Genomic DNA, 21,337 nt, shown 5'->3' on the forward strand with positions numbered 1-21,337 from the left:
TTGGGGCATCCGTGGGACTCTAACCCTCAATTTCTTTTTAATGCAAAATAGAGATAAAACCTACCTGTTGGATTCTTCTGAGCTGTCAATGAATGTAAATGGTCCAAAGAGGTGCTCAAAAAGGAAAAAGTCTTTCTCTTCTCACTAGCCACCTCCACTCCCAACTACCACTAAAAAGAAACTTAAAAAGTCAAAATGAAAGAATCCAGCATTTGATACAGTGGGCTAACAGCACGGATGAATCTTTAAAGCTCATCACTTCACTCACGTACAATATTCCAGCCTCCTCTGCATGGGAAGCAAACTCCTCTTGTCCTGTCTTTAGTTTCCATCAAAGCTCAGCCCAGAACCTGACATCTGGCTCTGCTGAAATAGTTTCTTGCTGTTATAGATTCAACACTGCTTTGACTCCAGACAGTCCAGACACTACAGTCTTCCAACCCAGAAAGCTTGGGCATATCTAAATCAACAAGGAAACCCATATCTTCTGTTTTGTTTTGTAATCCATGCTTTTATTAGCACATTGTTATAAAAGCATAACCATAGGTAAGACACTGTACGGGACATCCTGAGGATGCACCATGAGGATGCAGACAGGTGCACATGGGAAGACAAGACACCTACAGCACGTGACCATGAACCCAAGGCAGGAGAAGGCTTGTCTGAGCCTTTGCTGTTGTAGGTACATGGCTCTTTCCTTCATCAGATAATGAGAATTGGTTCTCCATCATTTCTCATTGCACTAGGGATTCCCGGAAACTCAGAATTCAACTGGGACAGCAAACTAACAAACAGGAGAACTGCCACCAAAAAAAAAAAAAAAAAAAAGGTGGATCAATAACTGACAAATAAAAGATACTAATAATTCTTTCTATATAGTAAATGACAAGAAAGTGCAAGCATTGACAGAACAATTCAGCAGATGCAGAATTTGTTTTTCCATTGACATTTCTGTATCCAGTGGGGTCAAGGTGACAACTGTGTCTTCTCCCTACATAGTTATGTCACTGCTGGCTACTCTAGCTGGCTCTCTAATACAGACCTCTGCACATAGCGGTCCTAAATCCACAGGGAGGGGAAGCAGTTGCCTCTGATGATGTTTCAGGCTCCACAATGCTGCTTTTCAACCAGAAAGCCAGTGCCAGGTAGGGCTGATGGTCTTTAGGAGTTCCATAATAAAATACTTCGTGAAAATGAAAATGGCTTGATCAACGATGGCGTCTATGGGAGGTCTAGAAAAATGACTTGTCTTCTGGAACCTCTGCCCAGTTTCAGAATCTCTGCATCCACTGCTGAAAAGAAAAAACAATTCCATTGTGATGTATGTGTCGATGGAGATAAGGTGGGAAGTCATTTCCTTAAACTGGCTGAGAAGGCCTTGCTGGGTGCTAGCAGCAAATTTGTCTAGCCATAGCAGGGGTTCCCTTCTCTAGTCATTTCTACTTCATAGATAGTAGAGTTTTAGATTTGTAAGTCACCTGAGAAGTAATTTACTCATCTAGATTGTCCCTGGAATGAGAAAAAAATTAGAAATATTTTTCAGTGCAAATTTATAATTGGGAGTCTGATATCTAAAGTCTTTAACAAACTCTCTGTTATCTTTATCAAATCTCATATGTGATTCTTTTTTTGAGACAGAATCTCGCTCTGTCACCCAGGCTAGAGTGCAGTGGTGCAATCACGGCTCACTGCAAGCTCTGCCTCCCAGGTTCACGCCATTCTCCTTCCTCAGCCTCCCGAGTAGCTGGGACTACAGGTGCCCGCCACCACGACTGGCTAATTTTTTTGTATTTTTAGTAGAGACAGGGTTTCACTGTGTTGGCCAGGATGGTCTCGATCTCCTGACCTTGTAATCCACCCGCCCCAGCCTCCCAAAGTGCTGGGGAATATAGGCATGAGCCACCGTGCCTGGCCTCATATGTGATTCTTGATCTCTTACGGAGAACACCAGGTTCCAAACCAAAGAACTCAGAGGAAACTAAGTACAATGAGAAGGTTTCTAACTTCAACCAACTATTTTTTTCCCTTTGAGAAGTAGTGAAAATGCCTCACCCAACTGGTTAATAAAATTAGAATTCAAATCTTTCCAGGTGCAATGATAACTCCCTTTAGAGGAAACTGCTTCCCTGAAGCCAGCAGTGCCCAGAAATTACAACCGGTTTCAGCAATTAACAGAAGTAAAACATTAAAAAGCATGAGGCAAAGTACATTTGCATGCTAATAGCCCCTTCTGTAGTGCTGGGAAGCTGTGTTTTACAACAAAGCAGATAACTTTCCCACTATAGCAATATTAACCCTTGGGTTCTCACTCCAGCTCCTTGCCCCTGATTCTAATGTCTGGAATTTGTCTGGCCATGGTTGGGGAAGACATGGGTTAACTCCACATATCAATCCATCCACTGTGGCCTAATTCTCCCTCGCTTGGGTAGGGGAAGAAAGAGAAAGAGACTTAAAAGTTTTGAATGTCTTTAGGGATAGCAAGAGGAAAGTGGAAAGACTCACCAGGGGGTGAAAAAGAAAGCTTCCCTAGAAAATACACTGGAATGGGCAGGGCAGTGCTTGAGCACAAGCTCTGGTGTCAAATGAGACTTGAATTTGAAACTGGCAGTGATATTTCCTAGTGCTGTGACCTTGGGCAGGTTACTTAAGTTCTTGGGGCCCCAGTTTGCTTATCTAATAAGGTGGAATGTAGGTTAAATGAGGCAATGAGGGTAAGACTTCTATATGCCTGGAAACCCTAATGGTTACTGTAATGGTTGTTAGAGCAGGTGGTATTTGTGGAGTTCCAGGAGGAACTTTTTGAAGAACCCTTGAGTACAAGACTATGACAAAGCCCTATGGCTTCACTGGAGATGCAAAGCAATTGTTTTTGCCTCCTGCAGAAAGTTAACCTTGGAATACGAGCAGAATATATATATATATATATATAGATAGATAGATCCCTTTTATGCTTCCTCAAGGTGGAGGCCACCAACATTTTGGATTCCATTGAAGATGACAGTCCTTGAGGATATACAGAGATCAGGAGAAAATTTTCCATCTCTATAGGAAGAAGGCAGGATAGCACAGAGCTTAGGCTTTGGAGCTGGGTAAACCTGGTTTTGAGATCCACTTCCTTTGACACTACCCAACTGTGTTACCTTGGATAAATTTCTTAACCTCTCTGTGCCTCAGTTTCCCATTGTAAAATAAAATGTCATACATCTGGGGCAAGAGTACCATGAGTAAGCACTCAACACATGTCAATTACTAAGGGATATTCCTTTCTTTAAAACTTCATTTCCCCTTGTCTTTTCCCATGACACAATGAGGAAGCAGTGCCCAAAGTATGTCATGGCTTAGATTTCAAGCCAACTCACTGAAATTAAGTAAAGATGAGGAAAGAAAAGTTTCGGTTTGTACACCCATATCCTCAGAGCTCACCACAGCTCTGACGACGGCAAAGAGAGGTTGCCGGAAGGAAACAAAAGTCCATCAAGGGCTGGCAAAATATTAATCCGGAGCTCACGGATGGGCAGTGATGCGCACCCTCTGATGGCGAGCATTCCCTTCATGTTCATGCTGCCCGTGGGCTGACAAAAGCCCACCACCCCATTCTTGCATTGTGGGCACTCACCCTGACTTGCCGTTCATCCTGTCCTGGGTCTACTTCCTAGCGACTTTCCAAGGCAGGTGTAGGGAGGGGATAGAGAGACAGAGAGTGGACTGGAAGATCCAGGGGAAGAAAAGGCAGTTCTCCAGCTCTCCCTCTAACAAGGTGCACTTCTGCCCTAGATTGATGGTTCTTAACCCTAATTGTGCATTAGAAACACATAGGAAGCTTTAAAAAATAATACACTGGGTACTCCTCCCATTGATTATGATCCAGTTTTTTCTGAGGTGAGCCTTGTACATGGATATTTGTATAGATTTTTATCTAGCGCTGCAGTGATCTGATGTGTTGCCTGCCTTGAGAACCATTTTCCGCTAACCTTCCAGAACGTGTTTGTTCTGTAGCAGTGCTGCTCAGTCTGGGATTCATGTTAGGATTCATTGGAGGACTTATTTAAAAATAAGGATGCCGACTGGGCATGGTGGCTCATGCCTGTAATCCCAACACTTTGGGAGGCCTAGGCGGGTGGATCACCTGAGGTCAGGAGTTTGAGATTAGCCTGGCCAACATGGTGAAATCCCGTCTCTACTAAAAATACAAAAAGTAGCCGAGTGTGGTGGTGGGCACCTGAAATTCCAGCTACTTGGGAGACTGAGGCAGGAGAATTGTTTGAACCCGGGAAATGGAAGTTGCAGTGAGCTGAGATCGCACCACTACACTCCAGCCTGGGCAACGGAGTGAGACTTCATCTAAAAGTAAATAAATAAATAAAATAAGGCTGCCTAGGACCCACCCTAAGAATTTCTGATTTAATTCACTTGAAGTGGAGTGCAGACATCAAAGTCAGACCTCCTCAAGCTTTTAACTCCAGACATGTAAGATTGTCCACTACAGAATAATTTGTAATAGCAAAGACTGGAGGCAACCCTCATAGGAGCCTGGCTAAGTAAACTCTTAACTTAGAATACTATGCATCAGTTAAAAAGAATGAGAAAGATTTCTCTGCGCTAATATTGAAAAATCTCCTGAATACATACCAAAAAAAGAAAAAGAAAAAAAAAAAAGCAAGAGGTAGAACAGTGTTTATAGGGTACTATGGTTTATGTAGAAAAAGGGAGAAAATAAAAATAATACAAGTAGTGACAACAGGGAACAAGGAGTGACGGAATACTTTCCAAATGGGTAAGATTAAGACTTTTCATAGGGCCGGGTGCAGTGGCTCATGCCTATGATCCCAGCTCTTAGCGAGGCTGAGGCAGGTAGATCGCTTGAGCTCAGGAGTTTGAGACCCACCTGGGCAACATGGCAAAAACCTGCCTCTACAGAAAGACCAAAAAAAAAAATAAATCAGCCAGTCATAGTGGCATGCATCTGTAGTCCCAGCTACTCGGGAGGTTAAGGTAGGAGGATCAACTGAACCCGGATCAACGGAAGCTTCAGTGAGTTGTGATCATGCTTCTGCATTCCAGCCTGGGTGACAGAGCAAGATCCTATCTAAAAAAAAAAAACAAAAACAAAAAACAAACAAAAAAAACAGAAAAAAACTTTCATGATGTCTTTATTCTCAAACATGTAAATTACCTATTTTAAAAATAAAGCTTGTGGCCAGGCGCGATGGCTCACGCCTGTAATCCCAGCACTTTGGGAGGTCGAGGCGGGCGGATCACGAGGTCAGGAGATCGAGACTATCCTGGCCAACGTGGTGAAACCCCGTCTCTACTAAAAATCCAAAAATTAGCTGGGTGTGGTGGTGCATGCCTGTAATCCCAGCTACTCGGGAGGCTGAGGCAGGAGTATCACTTGAACCAGGAAGTCCAAGTTTGCAGTGAGCCAAGATCATGCCACTGCACTGCAGCCTGGCAACAGAGCGAGACTCCGTCTAAAATAAAATAAAATAAAATAAAATAAAATAAAATAAAATAAAGCTTGTAAAATGAGCAGCCAGGTTTGAAAACATTGATCTCGGGTAAAGTCAGCAAACTGTAGCCAGGAGCCAAATTCAGCCTATTGCCTGTATTTTTTTTTAATTACAATTTTAATTTTAGAGCAATTTCAGGTTTTCAAAATTATTTAGAATACAGAATTTTTCTGTATACCCCACACCCTTTTTTTCTTTATTAACATCTTGCATTATGGTGGCACATTTGTCACGATGAAGGAACAAATATTGATCAATTATTGTTAACTAAAGACCATACTTTATTCAAATCTCCTCAATTATGCCCTAATATCCTTTTTGCATTCCAGGACCTCACCCTGGACACCACACTACATTTAGTCATAGTAAGTCCTTAGCCTCCTCTTGGTTGTGATAACTTCTCAGAGTGACTTTCTTTGTTTTTGATGACTTTGACAGTTTTGAGGGATACTAGTGGGGCGTTTTGTTGAGGATTCCTCAATTGAGATTTGTTTTTGGTTTTTTGGTTTTTTTTTTTTTCTTGATTAGACTGGGATAATGAGCTTTGGGGAGGAAGACCACAGATGGAATGTGCCACTCTCGTGATCATGGTATCTCCCCTGCCAGGTAAGTATGGAAAGTGCCACTCTCATCACATCAAGAGTCCATGCTGTTGGCCAGGTGTGGTGGCTCACGCCTGTAATCCCATCACTTTGGGAAGCCGGGGCAGGTGAATCACCTGAGGTCAGGAATTCGAAACCAGCCTGGCCAACATGGCAAAACCCCGTCTCTACTAAAAATACAAAAATTAGCCGAGTGTGGTGTTGCGCACCTGTAATCCCAGCTACTTGGAGGGCTGAGGCACAAGAATTGCTTGAACCTGGGAGGCAGAAGTTGCAGTGAGCTGAGATCGTGCCACTGCACTCCAGTCTGGTGACAGAGCAAGAGTCTGTCTCAAAAAAAAAAAAAAAAAAAAAAAAAGTGCTTGTCTACATGTCTATGTGAAAGTCCTTTGTTGACATTAAAAAAAAAAACATCCATGCTATCAATGAGATTTATTGATATCGATATTAACCTGGCTCAGGTAGGGTTTGCTGGGTTTCTCGCACTTTGTTTCTCCCTTTCCATACTCTAGTTTTTGGAAGAAAGTCACTATGTGTAGCCCACACTTAAGGAGGGGGGAATTACGCTCCACCTTCTCAGGGGTGGAGTAGCTACATACATTATTTGGAATCCTTCTGCACAGATGTGTCTGGTCTCTTCCATTTGTTTACCCAGTCATTTATCTTTATCATTATGAATCATGGGTATTTACTTTATATTTTGGGGGTTATATGGAATATTACTTTATTTATTTTAATTATTTTTTTTTTTTTTGAGATGGAGTCTCGCTCTGTCGCCCAGGCTTGAGTGCAGTGGCATGATCTTGGCTCACTGCAAGCTCTGCCTCCCAGGTTCACGCCATTCTCCTGCCTCAGCCTCCTGAGTAGCTGGGACTACAGGTGCCCACCACCATGTCTGGCTGATTTTTTTTGTATTTTAAGTAGAGATGGAGTTTCACCATGTTAGCCAGAATGGTCTCGATCTCCTGAACTTGTGATCCTCCCGCCTCGGCCTCCCAAAGTGCTGGGATTACAGGCATGAGCCACCGCACCCAGCATGTGGGGGTTTTATCGTTTTGCTTTTTTAAATTTCATTTTGTTTTGGTGTTGGTTTTTGAGCATTTTCTTACTTTCTGCCACTACGAGAGGCTCCTGGCTCGTTTTGCGCATTTCCTGCTCCAGTAGAGTCAGCTATATGAGCCCTGGTTCTTTCTATAGACAAATGGTTTTAGGAACTAAGACCAGGCACTAGGTGTTCTCATTGTTACTGGAGTGTTAGTGCTTCTAGATTCTTCCAACTGACAGAGCAAGGAGACATATATACGTGTGCTAACCTGTATATATATGCAGATCAATGAATATTTCTACATGTAATTATCTGTTTCTACATTAAGCTAAATATGGATTTGTACTTATGTCTCCAACTCGAATCCATTAGCACACAGATCATTCCCATCTCCTCCCCTTGCTTATCTGTGAGCTCCCATTCTAGCAATGAAAAACCTGGCTCCCACAATCTTTGATCCATTCACTGAACTGTCCAATTCTGGCCTTTATGCATAATGGTTTCAGAATTGCTAACCCTTATCTTCCCCACAAAAAAGTGTGTGTGGGGGTGGGTAGAAATGCCAATACAGTGCTTGTATACAGCTCCTTTTTTTCTAGTATTATTATAATAATAATTATTATTATTTTTGATGGAGTCTCGCTCTGTCACCCAGGCTGGAGTGCAGTGGTGTGATCTTGACTCACTGCAACTTCTGCCTCCCAGGTTCAAGCGATTCTCCTGCCTCAGCCTCCCGACTAGCTGGGATTACAGGTGTGCGCCACCACGCCTGGCTAATTTTTGTATTTTTGTTACAGACAGGGTTTCCCCATGTTGGCCAGGCTGGTCTCAAACTCCTGACCTCAAGTGATCTGCCCGCCTTGGCCTCCCAAAATGCTGGGATTACAGGCATGAGCCACCGTGCCAGGCCTACAGCTCCTTTTTCTTTCAGTCTTACAGACTTCACTCACTTTCAAAGTTACTTAGGTCAGTACCTTATTCCCTGACCTCATTCATTGATGTTCTTTCATACATTTGTAAGACTTCTACATCCTTCTGTCACATCTGCATTCCACCCTGGGATCCCTCAAACTCTTAAATAATATTTTTAAAACATTGTAGACATTAAGGTGCACTTTTCTGCTGTAAAGTTCTATGGGTTCTAATGAATGCCTAATATCTTATACTCACCATTACAATATTATGCAGAATCATTTCACTGCCCTAAAGAAGTCCCTGTGTTTCACCTATTCATCCTTCTCTCTTCTCTGAACCCCTGGCAACCAACAATCTCTTTACCAACTCTAGGTTCTCTTAACTGACAGAGCAATGAGACCTATATTTTGCCTTTTCCAGTGTGTTATATAATTGGAATCTTACCCCATGTAGTTTCTCAGACTTACTTCTTTCACTTAGCAGTATACATTTAAGATCGATCCATGTCTTTCAATGGCTTCATGCCTCATTTCTTTTATTGCTGAATAATATTCTATTGTATAAATGTACCACAGTTTATTTAGTCATGTACCTATTGAAGGATGTCTTGGTTACTTCCTGCTTTTGACAATTATGAATAAAACTGCTATTCAGATGCAGTTTGTTTTTGAGACAGATTTTCACTCTGTCACCAAGGCTGGATGGAGTGCAGTGGCACGATCCTGGCTCACTGAAATGTCAGCTTCCTGGGTTCATGTGATTCTCATGCCTCAGCCTCCTGAGTATCTGGGATTACAGGCATGTGCCACCATGCCCAGCTAAATTTTTTTGTATTTTTAGTAGAGACAGGGTTTCATCATGTTGGCCAGGTTGGTCTTGAACTCCTGACCTCAAGTGATCCACCCACCTCAGCCTCCCAAATTGCTGGAATTACAGGCGTGAGCCACCATGTTCAGTTCACATGCAGAATTTTGAGTGGACATGTGTTTCAAACCAGTTGGGCAAATATCTAGGAGTGTGATTGCTTGATTGTAGGGCAAGACTAGTTTTATAAGAAACGGTCAAATTGTATTCCAAAGTGGTTGTACCATTTTGCATTCCCACCAGCAATGAATGAGAGTCCCTGTTGCTCTGTATCCTTGACAAAAGCTGGTATTGTTAGTTTTTGAATTTTAGTCATTTTAACAGGTATTTCATTGTTTTAATTTGCAATTCCCTAATGACAAATGATATTTATTATCTTTTCATATGCTGTTTGCCATCTATGTATCTTCTTTGGTGAGAGTCTGTTCATAATTTTTACCCATTTTTAAATTGAGTTGTTTGTAGATTGTGTATTTTGGATACATGTCTTTTTTGGATATATGTTTTGTGAACATTTTCTCCCAGTCTGTGGCTTGTCTTTTCACTTTTATGTGATTCTATTTTGCATAGCAGAAGTTTTCCATTTTAATAAAGTCTGACATCAATTTTTTCTTTCATCAATTGTGCTATTGGTGTTATAAGAACTTGTCACAGACCCAAGGTTATGTAGATTTTCTGTTACTTTTTCTTCAAGAAATATTATAGTTTTTCATTTTATGTTTAGGCTCATGTCCATTTTTAGTTCATTTTTGTGTAAAGTGTAAGATTTGTGTCTAGTTTTTTTTTCCATATGGATATCGAATTGCTCCAGTATCATATGTTGAAAAGATTATCCTTTCGCCGTTGAATTGCCTTTGCTCCTTTGTCAGTGATCCACTGACTGTGTTTGTGTTGGTCTCTTTCTGGGCTTTCTATTCTGTTCCATTGATCTATTTGTCTATTCTTTCACCAATATCACTCTGTCTTGATTAGTATAGCCTTAGTGTGAGATATCTGGTAGTGTGAATCTTGCAATGTTGTTGTTATTCTTCTTCAGTATTATGTTACCTTGGCCCTTTCATATAAGCCTTAGAATCAGTTTGTCATTCTCTATAAAATAGCTGCCTGGGATTTTGACTGGGATTGTGGTGAGTGTACAGAACAAGTTAGGAAGAAATGATATCTAAACAATATCAAGTCTTCCAGTCCATGAACATAGAATATCTCTCCACTTATTACATTTTTGTATTTTTAATCAGAATTTTGTAGTTTTCCTGGTTTTGTAAATAAAGTTTTATTGGTTCACAGTCATGCTTTTTTTTTACATATTATCTGTGGTTGCCTTCATGCTGTAACGTCAGACTCGACTAGTTGCGACAGAAACCATGTTATTCACAAAGCCTAAAACACTTACTATCTATCTGGGCCTTTACAGAAAAAGCCTGATGACCCCCAATTGAGAGTTCAAATCGCAGAGCATCTTTTCTGTGATCCTGTTTTCTACGATCTCCTTCTCCTCATGGACTTTGGAAAAGAAAACATCCTCTAAAAGAGGAATAAGAACATCTGGAGCCTCAGCAATGGGTTAGAAACTCTTCTTTTGAGGAAGTGGGTGGGGAATCAATAGTAACCTTCCTTATTATCCAGATTTCTCTGGCTGAATTTAGAAGTAGGCTTTTTGTTTGTTTGTTTGTTTGTTTGTTTTACATTGTGTTTATGTTCTAAGCTCAGTACTATTGGCCTAGAAGTATCTCAATGTCCATTATAGCAACCGGAACATAGGAGGTTTTTAATAAATATTTGATAGATGAAATATGAAATAAATTATGGCGCTGGGCACGATGGCTCACACCTGTAATCCCAGCTACTTGGGAGGCTGAGGCACGAGAATCGCCTGAATCCAGGAAGAGGAGGTTGCAGTGAGCTGAGATTGTGCTGCTGTACTTCAGCCTGGGCCACAGGGCAAGACTCCGTCTCAAAAAAAGAATAACAATAATAATTATGTAAGAGAGAAGAAAAAACAGTTACTCTGAGGTCTGCTAAAGTGCAGGAGTAACATCCTCAGGAGCTATGGAAACAGAACTAGGGACAACTGGCACAGATGCATGGGCCATGTGGCTAGCAGCAGATGTATGGGAAGGAAGGTCCTTCTCGTAAAAAAAGCTGTCAGATAACACCACGCACTCGTTTTCACACTTAGCAAATGTAGTCTTGAGTCGTGTCTGCACCAGTACTAAAGCGATATGGAAATAATATTAACCACCATCATGTTCCAGGCACTGTGCGAGTGTCTTTATAGAATACACCAATCCACACAACAGCTCCAAGGTAGCCTTTAGCGTTCCTGTTTTGTAGTTCTGCAAACTACCAAATCAGATAGCAAAATGACTTCCTTAAGATCTCCTTGTTTTGAAGTAGCAACACCAATGCTAACTGTCCTGGGGAAGAAGAATCTTGCTCTACATCACACCTTCCAGCTGCATCAAGCACCAGCAAATAGCACAAGATGCTGTATAGCTCCTGGCTTTCATTCAGTCAGCATGTATAGATGCCCATCTCCAGGGATGTCAAAGGAGTATCATAGACGTTACAATACTAGAAAACATCTTTCCATGTCTGTGAATGTCTATCCCTAACCCTAGTCTGTCAGTCAATCAGTTGGTCAGCCAGGGGAGTGACTTCAGTTGAGGACACAGCCCTCTGCAGCAGGTGTTACAGGGACATCAGCAAAGGGACAGACCTACTTCCTGCCCACAGGAACCTTATGCTCTCCTGGGAACTCACATACCCCTGCCCTACAAGGAAAGTCAATGAATCCATTAAAAACTGCAGTGAGACAAATGATCATTTCTATACAGATTTATATACACCGGCATTGGTTGAGTGTGATTAAAAAGCTGTGGAGCCTTCAAACCCTTCAATTATTCATGCCTTTCATTTATATAACAAATCCTCATCAGTGTCTGATTTCCACTGTTCAAGTAGCCATTTAAAAAAACTAACATTTTTGGAGCACTTAACTAATTATTTGTAGCATTTTTGTGGTAGATTTATATAGACCTCACAATATATCAACCATGCAAGGTACCTAGGACAGGAATTATTATTATACCCATTTCAAAGATTTGTATATCGAGGCTCAGAGAGGTAAGGTGATTTGTCCAAGGTCACACAAGCTGGCAAGACAAGGCCTGTCCACCAGCCTACAGTTCCTTTGCTATTGTCATGTCCCCAAAGTTCTTGTGCCCTAATCCTTTCTCTCTAACCATGTAGAATAGAAAGAGTAGGTTCCTAAGAGTCAGAGAAGAAGACTCTGGCATCTCATGACCACTTGGCTAGACTCCTTCCCCAGAGGGGAAACTTGCTCTGAGCAAGTTTCAAAGAATGTCCTCATTCAACTTCTGACCCCAGTAGTGGCACAGCCCACATGTGAACCAGAGAAAAGTGGTAATCAATAATGGTGACCTTGTTTTTTCAAGCTTTTGTTGAAGGTCACAGGTGTTCACAAACTCTTCCCTCTCTTCACCCACTAATGTCTTAGATCCTTTCTGAAGGGCAGGCTGAAGGGCAGAAAGGTTAAATGGATTAACTATTCCATGCATGGGCAGAGATTATGACCCAAGTCCCCATGATACTAAGGCTGATCTCCAATCACCCATCCAATGCTGTTCACCTTGGAAAAGATCTGGCATGGTTTACTAATGATGGGCCAGGTGCCACAAGCATTCCAATGCATGCTTTAAAATGCATTCTCAGCAGTGGGAATGGACTTGCCTACATCCTTCAAACTCATTCCAGACAGGAGATTATTTTATCTTGTTCACTCTGGTGTCCTGACACCAAGCACAGTGCTTGGCCCATAGCAGGTGACCAATACATCTTTATTGAATGACTGAAGCTATCTACACCACCTCTGTCCTTGAGCTAAGTCCATGACACAGAGGCCAAGCAAGATCAATCCATTTTCATGGCATTGAACTTACAATCCTGGATGGACTCTTTCTCATGCTACACGGACTTACACAAACATGGTTATAACATACAACCAGAATGGAGGAGGGGCACCGTGAGGATTGAAGGAGGCAAGGTAAGCAGGTGCTGAGCTCTGAGCTTCACACTATCTGGACTGGAGAGACCAGTTCACTGATAAATTAAAGATGCTCAAATGTAGAAGATCCTTGGCAGGAAGGAAGGGTCTTGAGCCATTTTGAAGCAGGCAATTCATTTTGTGATTCAAGATTCCAGATTGGTGGTTCTAAAGATTAACTTGTAGAAAACTCAGAAGTACTAGATAGAATAAATGCCTGCCTTAGGGGGAAGTATTATTATTATTGCTTTATTTTTCCCTGGGAGGAAGAATTACTACTACTCGATGACTTCTACTACTACTACCATTACTATTACTATTTCCTTCTCTGACCCCTTTTTTCCCTTTGGCTTAAACGTCTTACTAGAATTACTCAGGAGATCATAAAGAGAGAGCTACCAGCACTCTCTTCCCCAACCCCCACCAAATTTGTTTTAAAAATATGTATGAAGCTATAGAGAGAGGCAGATCTCAGAAGATTGGGCAGAGCTACCGCAGCTGCAAAGTTATAAGCCCATAAATAAAGTTTATGGTTAAACTGGCCTGACCTGGCTTTGCCCCTAGGTACAGAAGCAGTATCTTGTCATTAGTATGCAGAATACATCAGCCTGAAGTCTGCTCATTTGTTCTCAAGCCACTTGGCTCTATAAATCTTTTGGAAAGGGTGGGGCGGGGAGTTGGGGAGCCAAAGTGAGGGGCAGACAGAAAAAGAGCAGGGGAGGGAGGAGATGAGCCAGGGCTGCTAAGAGGAGTTTCTCTACTGCAACCCAACAGGCGGCCACTGGCTCATGTCACTTGGTGGAGGGAAAATCACAGGTCCCATAAAATAAACTATTTTGCTTCTCCAGCCATAGATAAAAATGTGAGAGACTATGGGAAACAAAATCTAAGCTGTAAGACTTGAACTTTGTTTACCCCTTCTAGTTCAAAAAACAAGTTCAAAGTTACTTGTCCCAGGATTTTACTTAAGAAGGAAAAGCCTCCCGCTTTTTTGTTGCTTATTTTTGCCTCTGTCTTGTTTTGATGGTTTGTTCTTCAGTCCAAAGAAAGGACTGGATTTTGCTCTCCCACACCACACAGAGGGCTCTTGGAAAAGCTGATGGGGTCGTTTTCAATACCTCCATCCTCAGCAGACCACTGAGTGGGGGGGATGCTCAGCTCGCTGCCATCTCCGCTGAGGAGTACATAGGAGAAAACACAAGGACGAAGGGGCATGCAGGAAAGCTGAGCTTGCAAACCTCCCTGAACTCTAGGGTATGGAGAGCTGATGTAGTTTGCTGAAGATGAACATTTATTTCTCCTTTGTTGGGGTAACCTTCAGTCTATTTCTCCTGCTGTAGGAACCCAGGAATGAATACTGATTCTGCCAGTCTCTTTTCTGGAGACCCTGGCTGCCAGTGGAAGAAAGGACATGGGGGAAGAGGTGGGTCTTGATAGTTGTTGCCTCTTCAGTGCTTTCACATTTCCCATTGGACAGCAAGCAAAGAGGCATGTTTTCTTCAGTCTCCACCAGGGCAGAAAGGACACATCTGGGCGCCTTGGAAAGCTGTTGCCACGATCATCGCAGAGCCTTGCCAGGGAAGGCTGGTGGCAGGGAAGGGCAGGAAGATGCAAAAGAGGGCCTAAGCACCACTCGGAGACCGCCCATCCCCCAACATTGTTGTCTGCATGAAAGATGGTTAAAATTAACCTCAGGGGCAGCCTTCAAGGGGAAATTGGAGGGAAGGTCTTACAGGGCCTCAGGGCTGTGGGTGGAGGAGGGGGCTAGACTGCAGTTTCCAAGCTGTCTGTGCCAATTCCTGATGACTTGGGGTTTTTTTTTGTTTTTTGTTTTTTGTTTTTGTTAGACAGAGTTTTGCTCTTGCCGGGGCTGAAGTGCAGTGGCGCCATCTCAGCTCAACCTCTGCCTCCTAGGTTCAAGTGATTCTCCTGCCTCAGCCTCCCGAGTAGCTGGGACTACGGACATGCACCACCACACCCGCCTAATTTTGTATTTTTAATAGAGATGGGGCTTCACTACGTTGGTCAGGCTGGTCTCGAACTCCCGACCTCAGGTGATCCACCTGCCTTGGCCTCCCAAACTGCTGGGATTACAGGCATAAGCTACCTTGCCCGGCGGACTTGGGAGAACTTTCAGGTGGTGGGTTTGTAGTTGAGCCTCAGGCCCTTTATTTTAAATATGCATTTTCTTCCTTTACTCCAGGGATTCCCACCTGCAGCATTATTTATATTTGAGGCTAGGTAATTTGTGTGTGTGCATGCAAAAATGTCTCTAGACATTGCCACATGTCCCCGAGGGCAAAACTGTCCCCAGTTGAGAACCACTGTTCTACAAATCTCCTGCCTTTTGCCTCTCCAATTCAGTGGCCAAGAGTCAAGCATGGCCAAGGGCAAGCAGGGCCCAAGGCAAGTAGCAAGAAAGGAAATACAAAAGGAGGCCCTCAGCTTCCAGAGTTTCAGGAATTTATTCCTCCAGAGTGCTTTTAAACTCATCATTAGAACAAAGAACAAACACATACAAGCAAAATGATTCTTCAGGTCAGGCTGCACAATTTAGCAAAAAGGAATACTTTTTGTTATTTTAGTATGAGCATGTCCTACATAGTATTTGGAATATACTTTTACTAAAGAAAAAAATGGTCGTTTATTCGAAATTTGAATGCACCTGAGCATCCTATATCTTATCTGTCAACAGTATCTTCAGGTAGAGGTAATCATACGGGGAAAAAATCCAGAAGGAGAACACATGTCCTCATTGGGCAGAAATATCCCATTTTGGCCAGATAGGGTGGCTGATGTCTGTAATCTGAGCACTTTTGGGAGGCCAGGGTGGGAGGATTGCTTGAGCCCAGGAGTTTGAGACCAGTTGGGGCAACATTGGGAGACTCCATCTCCACACACACAGACAAAAACATTTTTTTAAAGTTAGCCAGGCATGTCACTGCACTGAAGCCTGGGGAAGGAAGGAAGGAAGGGAGGGAGGGAGGCAGGACGGGACGGAGGCAGGACGGGAGGGAGGGAGGCGGGGGGGGGGGGGCAGGGAGGGAGGCAGGCAGGGAGGGAGGGAGGCAGGCAGGGAGGGAGGGAGGGAGGGAGGCAGGCAGGGAGGGAGGGAGGCAGGCAGGGAGGGAGGGAGGGAGGGAGGCAGGCAGGGAGGGAGGGAGGGAGGCAGGCAGGGAGGGAGGGAGGGAGGGAGGCAGGCAGGGAGGGAGGGAGGGAGGGAGGGAGGCAGGCAGGGAGGGAGGGAGGGAGGCAGGCAGGGAGGGAGGAAGAGAGGGAGAGCAACATGAAAAAAAAGAAATATCCTATTTTCTTGGAGCAGGATTTTACCTGTAATCGAAAAAACGTAAAAGAAGACAGCCCTCACCTTCAGACCACTGAAGCACTCTCAGAATTCTGGCGGCCCCAGATGACCAGGGAATGTGTGAGTGATAGTCTAGACTCCTCTTGGTCTGGAAAAGCGGCCTCTGCTCCCCACTGGTGGTCCTATTTGCACACCCACATTGGAGAATCTTCCCTCTGCGCTTGGCTGCAGAGGAAATGTGACCCTGGGTGGCCGAGTCTCTGCCAAGCTTTATCTGGAAGGGGAGATGTGACCACTTCATAAATCCACACGGAACAAGCATGTTTTCTGCTGGAGCAGGAGATCTTCACTGGCCTTTTTTTCTGTCATCAATCTTGTTTCCTCTTTGAAGGAGAGGGCCCATTACTCATGTCCTGACAGAATCAAAAGAGAGAAGGAGGGGCCCCGGAGAAGAAGAGAGACCTAATGCGGCAGGTGCAGCCTCTGAGAATCCGGGGCGGAGATGGAGAGGGGGCACAGGTGTGGGAAGGGGAGACTGACACAGCCGGCTCTCTGGAGGAGCTCACCCTGCTGGCTCAGCTGAGTTTAAGGGGGAAGCTGCTCCTGGGGAGAGGGAATAGGAAGCAGAAGGGGATTCATCACCAGCACAGACACACAGCTGCGTCTGCAGCTCCTTCAGACCGTCAGAACCTCTGGTTCAGGAGCAGGAACACAGGTGTCAGACCCACGTCTCCATCTTGCCCTGGCTTCTGACTCTGGGCACCCACTCCCCCATATAGGCTCACATTGTTCGTTTGTTAAGTGAAGGGCCTGACCCAAATGCTTCCTGGATTCCCTCATGTTGTCAAATTTGACCTTGGACTGTTCTGCTTTGCCTTCCATTTCCTTCCTGTGGAACAGGGGGATGCCCAAGCTTGGGCTGTTTTGCCATTTACCTCCTTTGGTGAAATTCTGACACTCTGAGAATCCCTAGGAAACTCCTGAGTCCTGTGAATTTCTTTGCAGTTGATGCAAAGAGATATGACGTCTAACGGGAGGACACAGCCTCTCAGAGGATTAGCCACCAGGAATCCTAGTGGCTGAGGATAAGCAGTCCTCCTTTACAGGGTAACCTCGAGGGAACCAGGTACCTTCTAAGACTCAGTTATACCCACCTGCAAAGCGGGGAAAATAATGCCTGCACAGCTTACCTATTGGGACAGCATTTGAGACAGCTGCTATGGAAGCACTTTTTTTTTTTAACATAGAACAAAGCTCGCATACATTATACATAATTGTACACACGAGTGCGATACATGCACATACAACACATACACACGCAGGGCGATGTGAACCCAGCAGTCCCTGGACTTCGAAAATGGAAATGAAATAAGAGTGTGTCTGGGAAGGGAGGAGGCCAGGTCTTGGGGAAGAAACTGCCAGTCTGTCTTCCCTCCAGGACAACAGCTGAATCCCAGAGCCTCATCAGACAGGCCCTCCATGTCTCAGTAAAACTAAACTGACAAGCATGACCCCTCCTGCACAGTTCACCTTATTGAAGCTGTCTGGTAGGTGAGACATTTATTAACATGGATGGACTGCCTACTGAGAGGGCCCTGCTGCTGGGCTCAGCAGAGCGAATTCCGTCCCCAGATGCAATAAGTCTCCACTTCAATGTGGAATGTGATCATGTCCTCCTTGCTGAAGGAAGGTCGTGCTTTTGACGTGAGGATTGTTGATCCACAGAGTGGAGGAGCTCCAAGTGCAGATTCCAGCACCAGGAGGCATGTCGTTCCACAATTCTGGACTGGTCACTTCAAAACTCAGTTTCCTAATCTAGAAACTGGATAAAAACTGTTCAAGGAAGAAATAAGAACAGGGAGGGAGAGCGGTAAAATAATCACTGATATGGTTTGGCTGTATTCCCACCCATATCTCATCTGGAATTCCCACGTGTTGTGGGAGGGACCCCGTAGGAGATAACTGAATCATGGGGGTGGTTTCCCCCATACTGTTCTCGTGGTAGTGAATAAGTCTCAGGAGATCTGATGGTTTTATAAAGGGAAACTCCTTTGGCTTGGCATTGATTCTCTTGTCTGCCACCATGTGAGATGTGCCTTTCACGATTGTGAGGCCTCCCCAGCCACATGGAACTGTAAGTCCAGTAAATCTCTTTCCTTTGTAAATTGCCTAGTCTCAGGTATGTCTTTATCAGCAGTGTGAAAACAGACTAATACAATCACTGACTGCATCATCCCATTAGAATGCTGGATGGGTCACAAGCCAGTTCTCTACACTAGGCACCCGGCACACATACCTATATTTAAGATAAAACATTGGGGAAAAATCCCAGGGCCAGCTTAAGCCACAAGGCATACATGTTAGCTGTCTATTGCTAATGTCCAAATGACCCCAAACCTTAACAGCTTGAAATAACAAACATTTAGCATCTCATAGTTTCTGTGGGTCAGGAATCTGGGTGCAGTGTAGTGGGGTCCTCTGCCCCTGTGAACCTCACAGGCTGCAGTCATCTCAAGGCACAGCTGGGGTGGGGTCAGGGTGGGTGAGCTTCCAAACCCACTCACATGGCTGTTGGATGGAGGGCCTCGGATCCTCCCTGGCTGTTAGCCTGATGCTCCATCAGTTCCCTATCACATGGGCCTCTCCGCTGCAACTCACAACCCTTTAATCGACTTTCCTTCAAACAAGGGAGGGTGATGGTTAATTTGATGTGTCAACTTGGCTGGGCCATGGTGCTCAGACATTTGGCCAAAGCATTATGCTGAATGTTTCTGTGAAGGTGTTTTTTGAATGAGATTAACATTTACCTTGGCAGACTTTGAGTAAAGCAGATGACTTGCCACAGTGTGGGTGGGCCTCGCCCAATCAGTGGAAGGCCTGCGTAGAACAAAGATTGCCCTCCTCTGAGAAAGAGGGAGTCCTGACAGCAAACTGTGTTCACGCTGTAACCACAAGTCCTGCAGGGGTCTCCGGCTTGCTGGCCTCCCCCATCAGATTTTGGACTCACCAGACCTCTATAATCACATGTGCCAATTCCTTAAAATAAATCAATCTCTCTCTCTCTCCATTTCTGTCTGTCTCTCTTTGTTACCTCTGTCTCTGTATATCTCTGTGTCTCTCTGCTTCTGTCTCTGTTTGTCTCTCTGTGTCTCTCTGTGTGTGCATTTCTCTGTTTCATTCTGTCTCTCCATGTCTTTCTCTGTCTCTGTTCCTGTCTCCGTGTGTCTTTCCGTATCTCTCTCTGTCTCTGTCTCTTTCTGTCTCTTTGCCTCTCTGTCTCAATCCCTCTGTTTCTCTTTGTTTCTTTCTCTATGTGTCTCTCTCTATGGTCTCTCTGTCTCTGTCTGTCCCTCTTTCTCTTATTACTTTCTCTATGTCTCTCTGTCTCTGTCTGTGTCTCTCTGTGTCTCTTTCTGTTTCTGTTTCTCTCCCTCTCTCTCTCTATCTCATACACGCCCCATATTAATCCTGTTTCTCTGCGAGCCCTGACTGATACAGTGAGAGGGAGAGAGGCACAGCCTTTGTGTATCCTGATCTTGGAAGTGCCACCCCACCACTTTGCCACTTTCTATTTGTTAGGAGTTGCTGGCTCCAGCCCACACTCAAAAGGTGGGGTTTACCAAAGTGGGTGGGGAATCACTGGAAGCCAGTGTCAGGGGAAGAACCAAAATTCTTGTGAAACCTGTCAGTTGCATGATCTTGGGGCAAGTGATTTAGCCCCATCAGTCTTGTGTTCTCATCTCATCTCTGAGGGCTTTAGTACCTCCTCCTGGCACGTGTTGTCAAGTAGGAAGAATGCATGAAATACAACTCAATAAATGTGTATGACAATGAGGAGTTAAGCACTTGAGATCTTCCACTGTTTTGTAGAGCTAGCTGCATCCTTGAAGATGAATGTGTTTGGCCTGGTCACATTGGTGTGAGGACACGGAGGCTCAGGAAGGCAGAGCAACTTGCCGAAGGTTGATTTTCTCATTTATTCCCCAACTGCCCCCTCTGTCAACTTTCCTAGTCCTCGGAATTCTGCAGCAACTGAAATCTCCTTCCAGCCTAAGCCCATGACAACAATGCTCACAGAGGCAAAGTCTGCCTTGTAAAAATTATTTTTTTTCTTTTGAGATTGAGTCTGTCTCTGTTGCCCAGGTTGGAGTGCAGTGGCACGATTTCGGCTCATTGCGACCTCAGCCTCCTGGATTCAAGCGATTCTCCTGCCTCAGCCTCCTGAGTAGGTGGGACTACAGGTGCCCACCACCATGCCTGGCTAATTTTTGTATTTTTACTAGAGACAGGGTTTCACCATGTTGGCCAGGCTAGTCTCGAACTCCTGACCTCAGGTGATCTGCCTGCCTAGGCCTCCCAAAGTGCTGAGATTATAGGCATGAGCCATTGCACCCAGTCGAAAATTATTTTCTTTTAATGTTTTTTTTTTGTTTTCCGAGCACCTATTGTTTGCCAAGTCATCTACCTGGTATTGGCGTGGTCTATCTAAAAAGGTGACATTTCCACTAAAACCTGAAGGGTAAAAAGTAGGAGTTAGGGGAAGAAAGTCCATGCTTAAGAAAGCTTGGGCCACCCCCAGTCCAGGGGGAGCAAGCGTCTCCCCACGGTCCACAGAAATGGTCTTAATAAAGCTAGAAGTGACTTCATGGTTGCCAAACCCAAGGGCACCACTGCATTTGACTGCTCTGTATCTGTTTCACCCGAAGTGCCCTCAGACTTGACATCCTCTGCCTCTTTGTTCTCCATGACACTCATCTGTGCTGGCTCTGCTCCTACATCTTCGAACCTCCTCCTTAGACTCACTCACAGCCTGCTTTGCCTACATGATGTCCTCTGAATGTCTGTCTCATCTGCTCACTTAACAAAGCCTCATGGTCAAATCTTGTGATGATGAAGCCCAGCCCTATGTCTCCAGGACTCAGGTCCCCTCTGTCCTCAGACTTGGATATCCGCCTAACTGGCTGTTATCATGTCTTCTGGGTACCGTGAAAGCCCCTCAAACTCAGCAGCCAAAATGCACCACAATTTCTA

General features: G+C 44.4%; 1 long non-coding RNA gene across 1 annotated transcript; it reads right to left on the reverse strand.

Annotated features, from left to right (window-relative positions):
• Positions 1-490: 490 nt before the first annotated feature.
• Positions 491-16,739, reverse strand: LOC124900392 (uncharacterized). Its single transcript, XR_007065892.1, has 2 exons — positions 16,370-16,739; positions 491-1,292 (listed from the first exon to the last, which is right to left on the reverse strand). It is a non-coding gene; the product is annotated as an uncharacterized LOC124900392 (long non-coding RNA).
• Between the last annotated feature and the right edge of the window lie 4,598 nt (positions 16,740-21,337).

This window comes from Homo sapiens, chromosome 17 (assembly GCF_000001405.40).
Source record: "Homo sapiens chromosome 17, GRCh38.p14 Primary Assembly".
NCBI classification, from domain to species: Eukaryota; Metazoa; Chordata; class Mammalia; order Primates; family Hominidae; genus Homo; species Homo sapiens.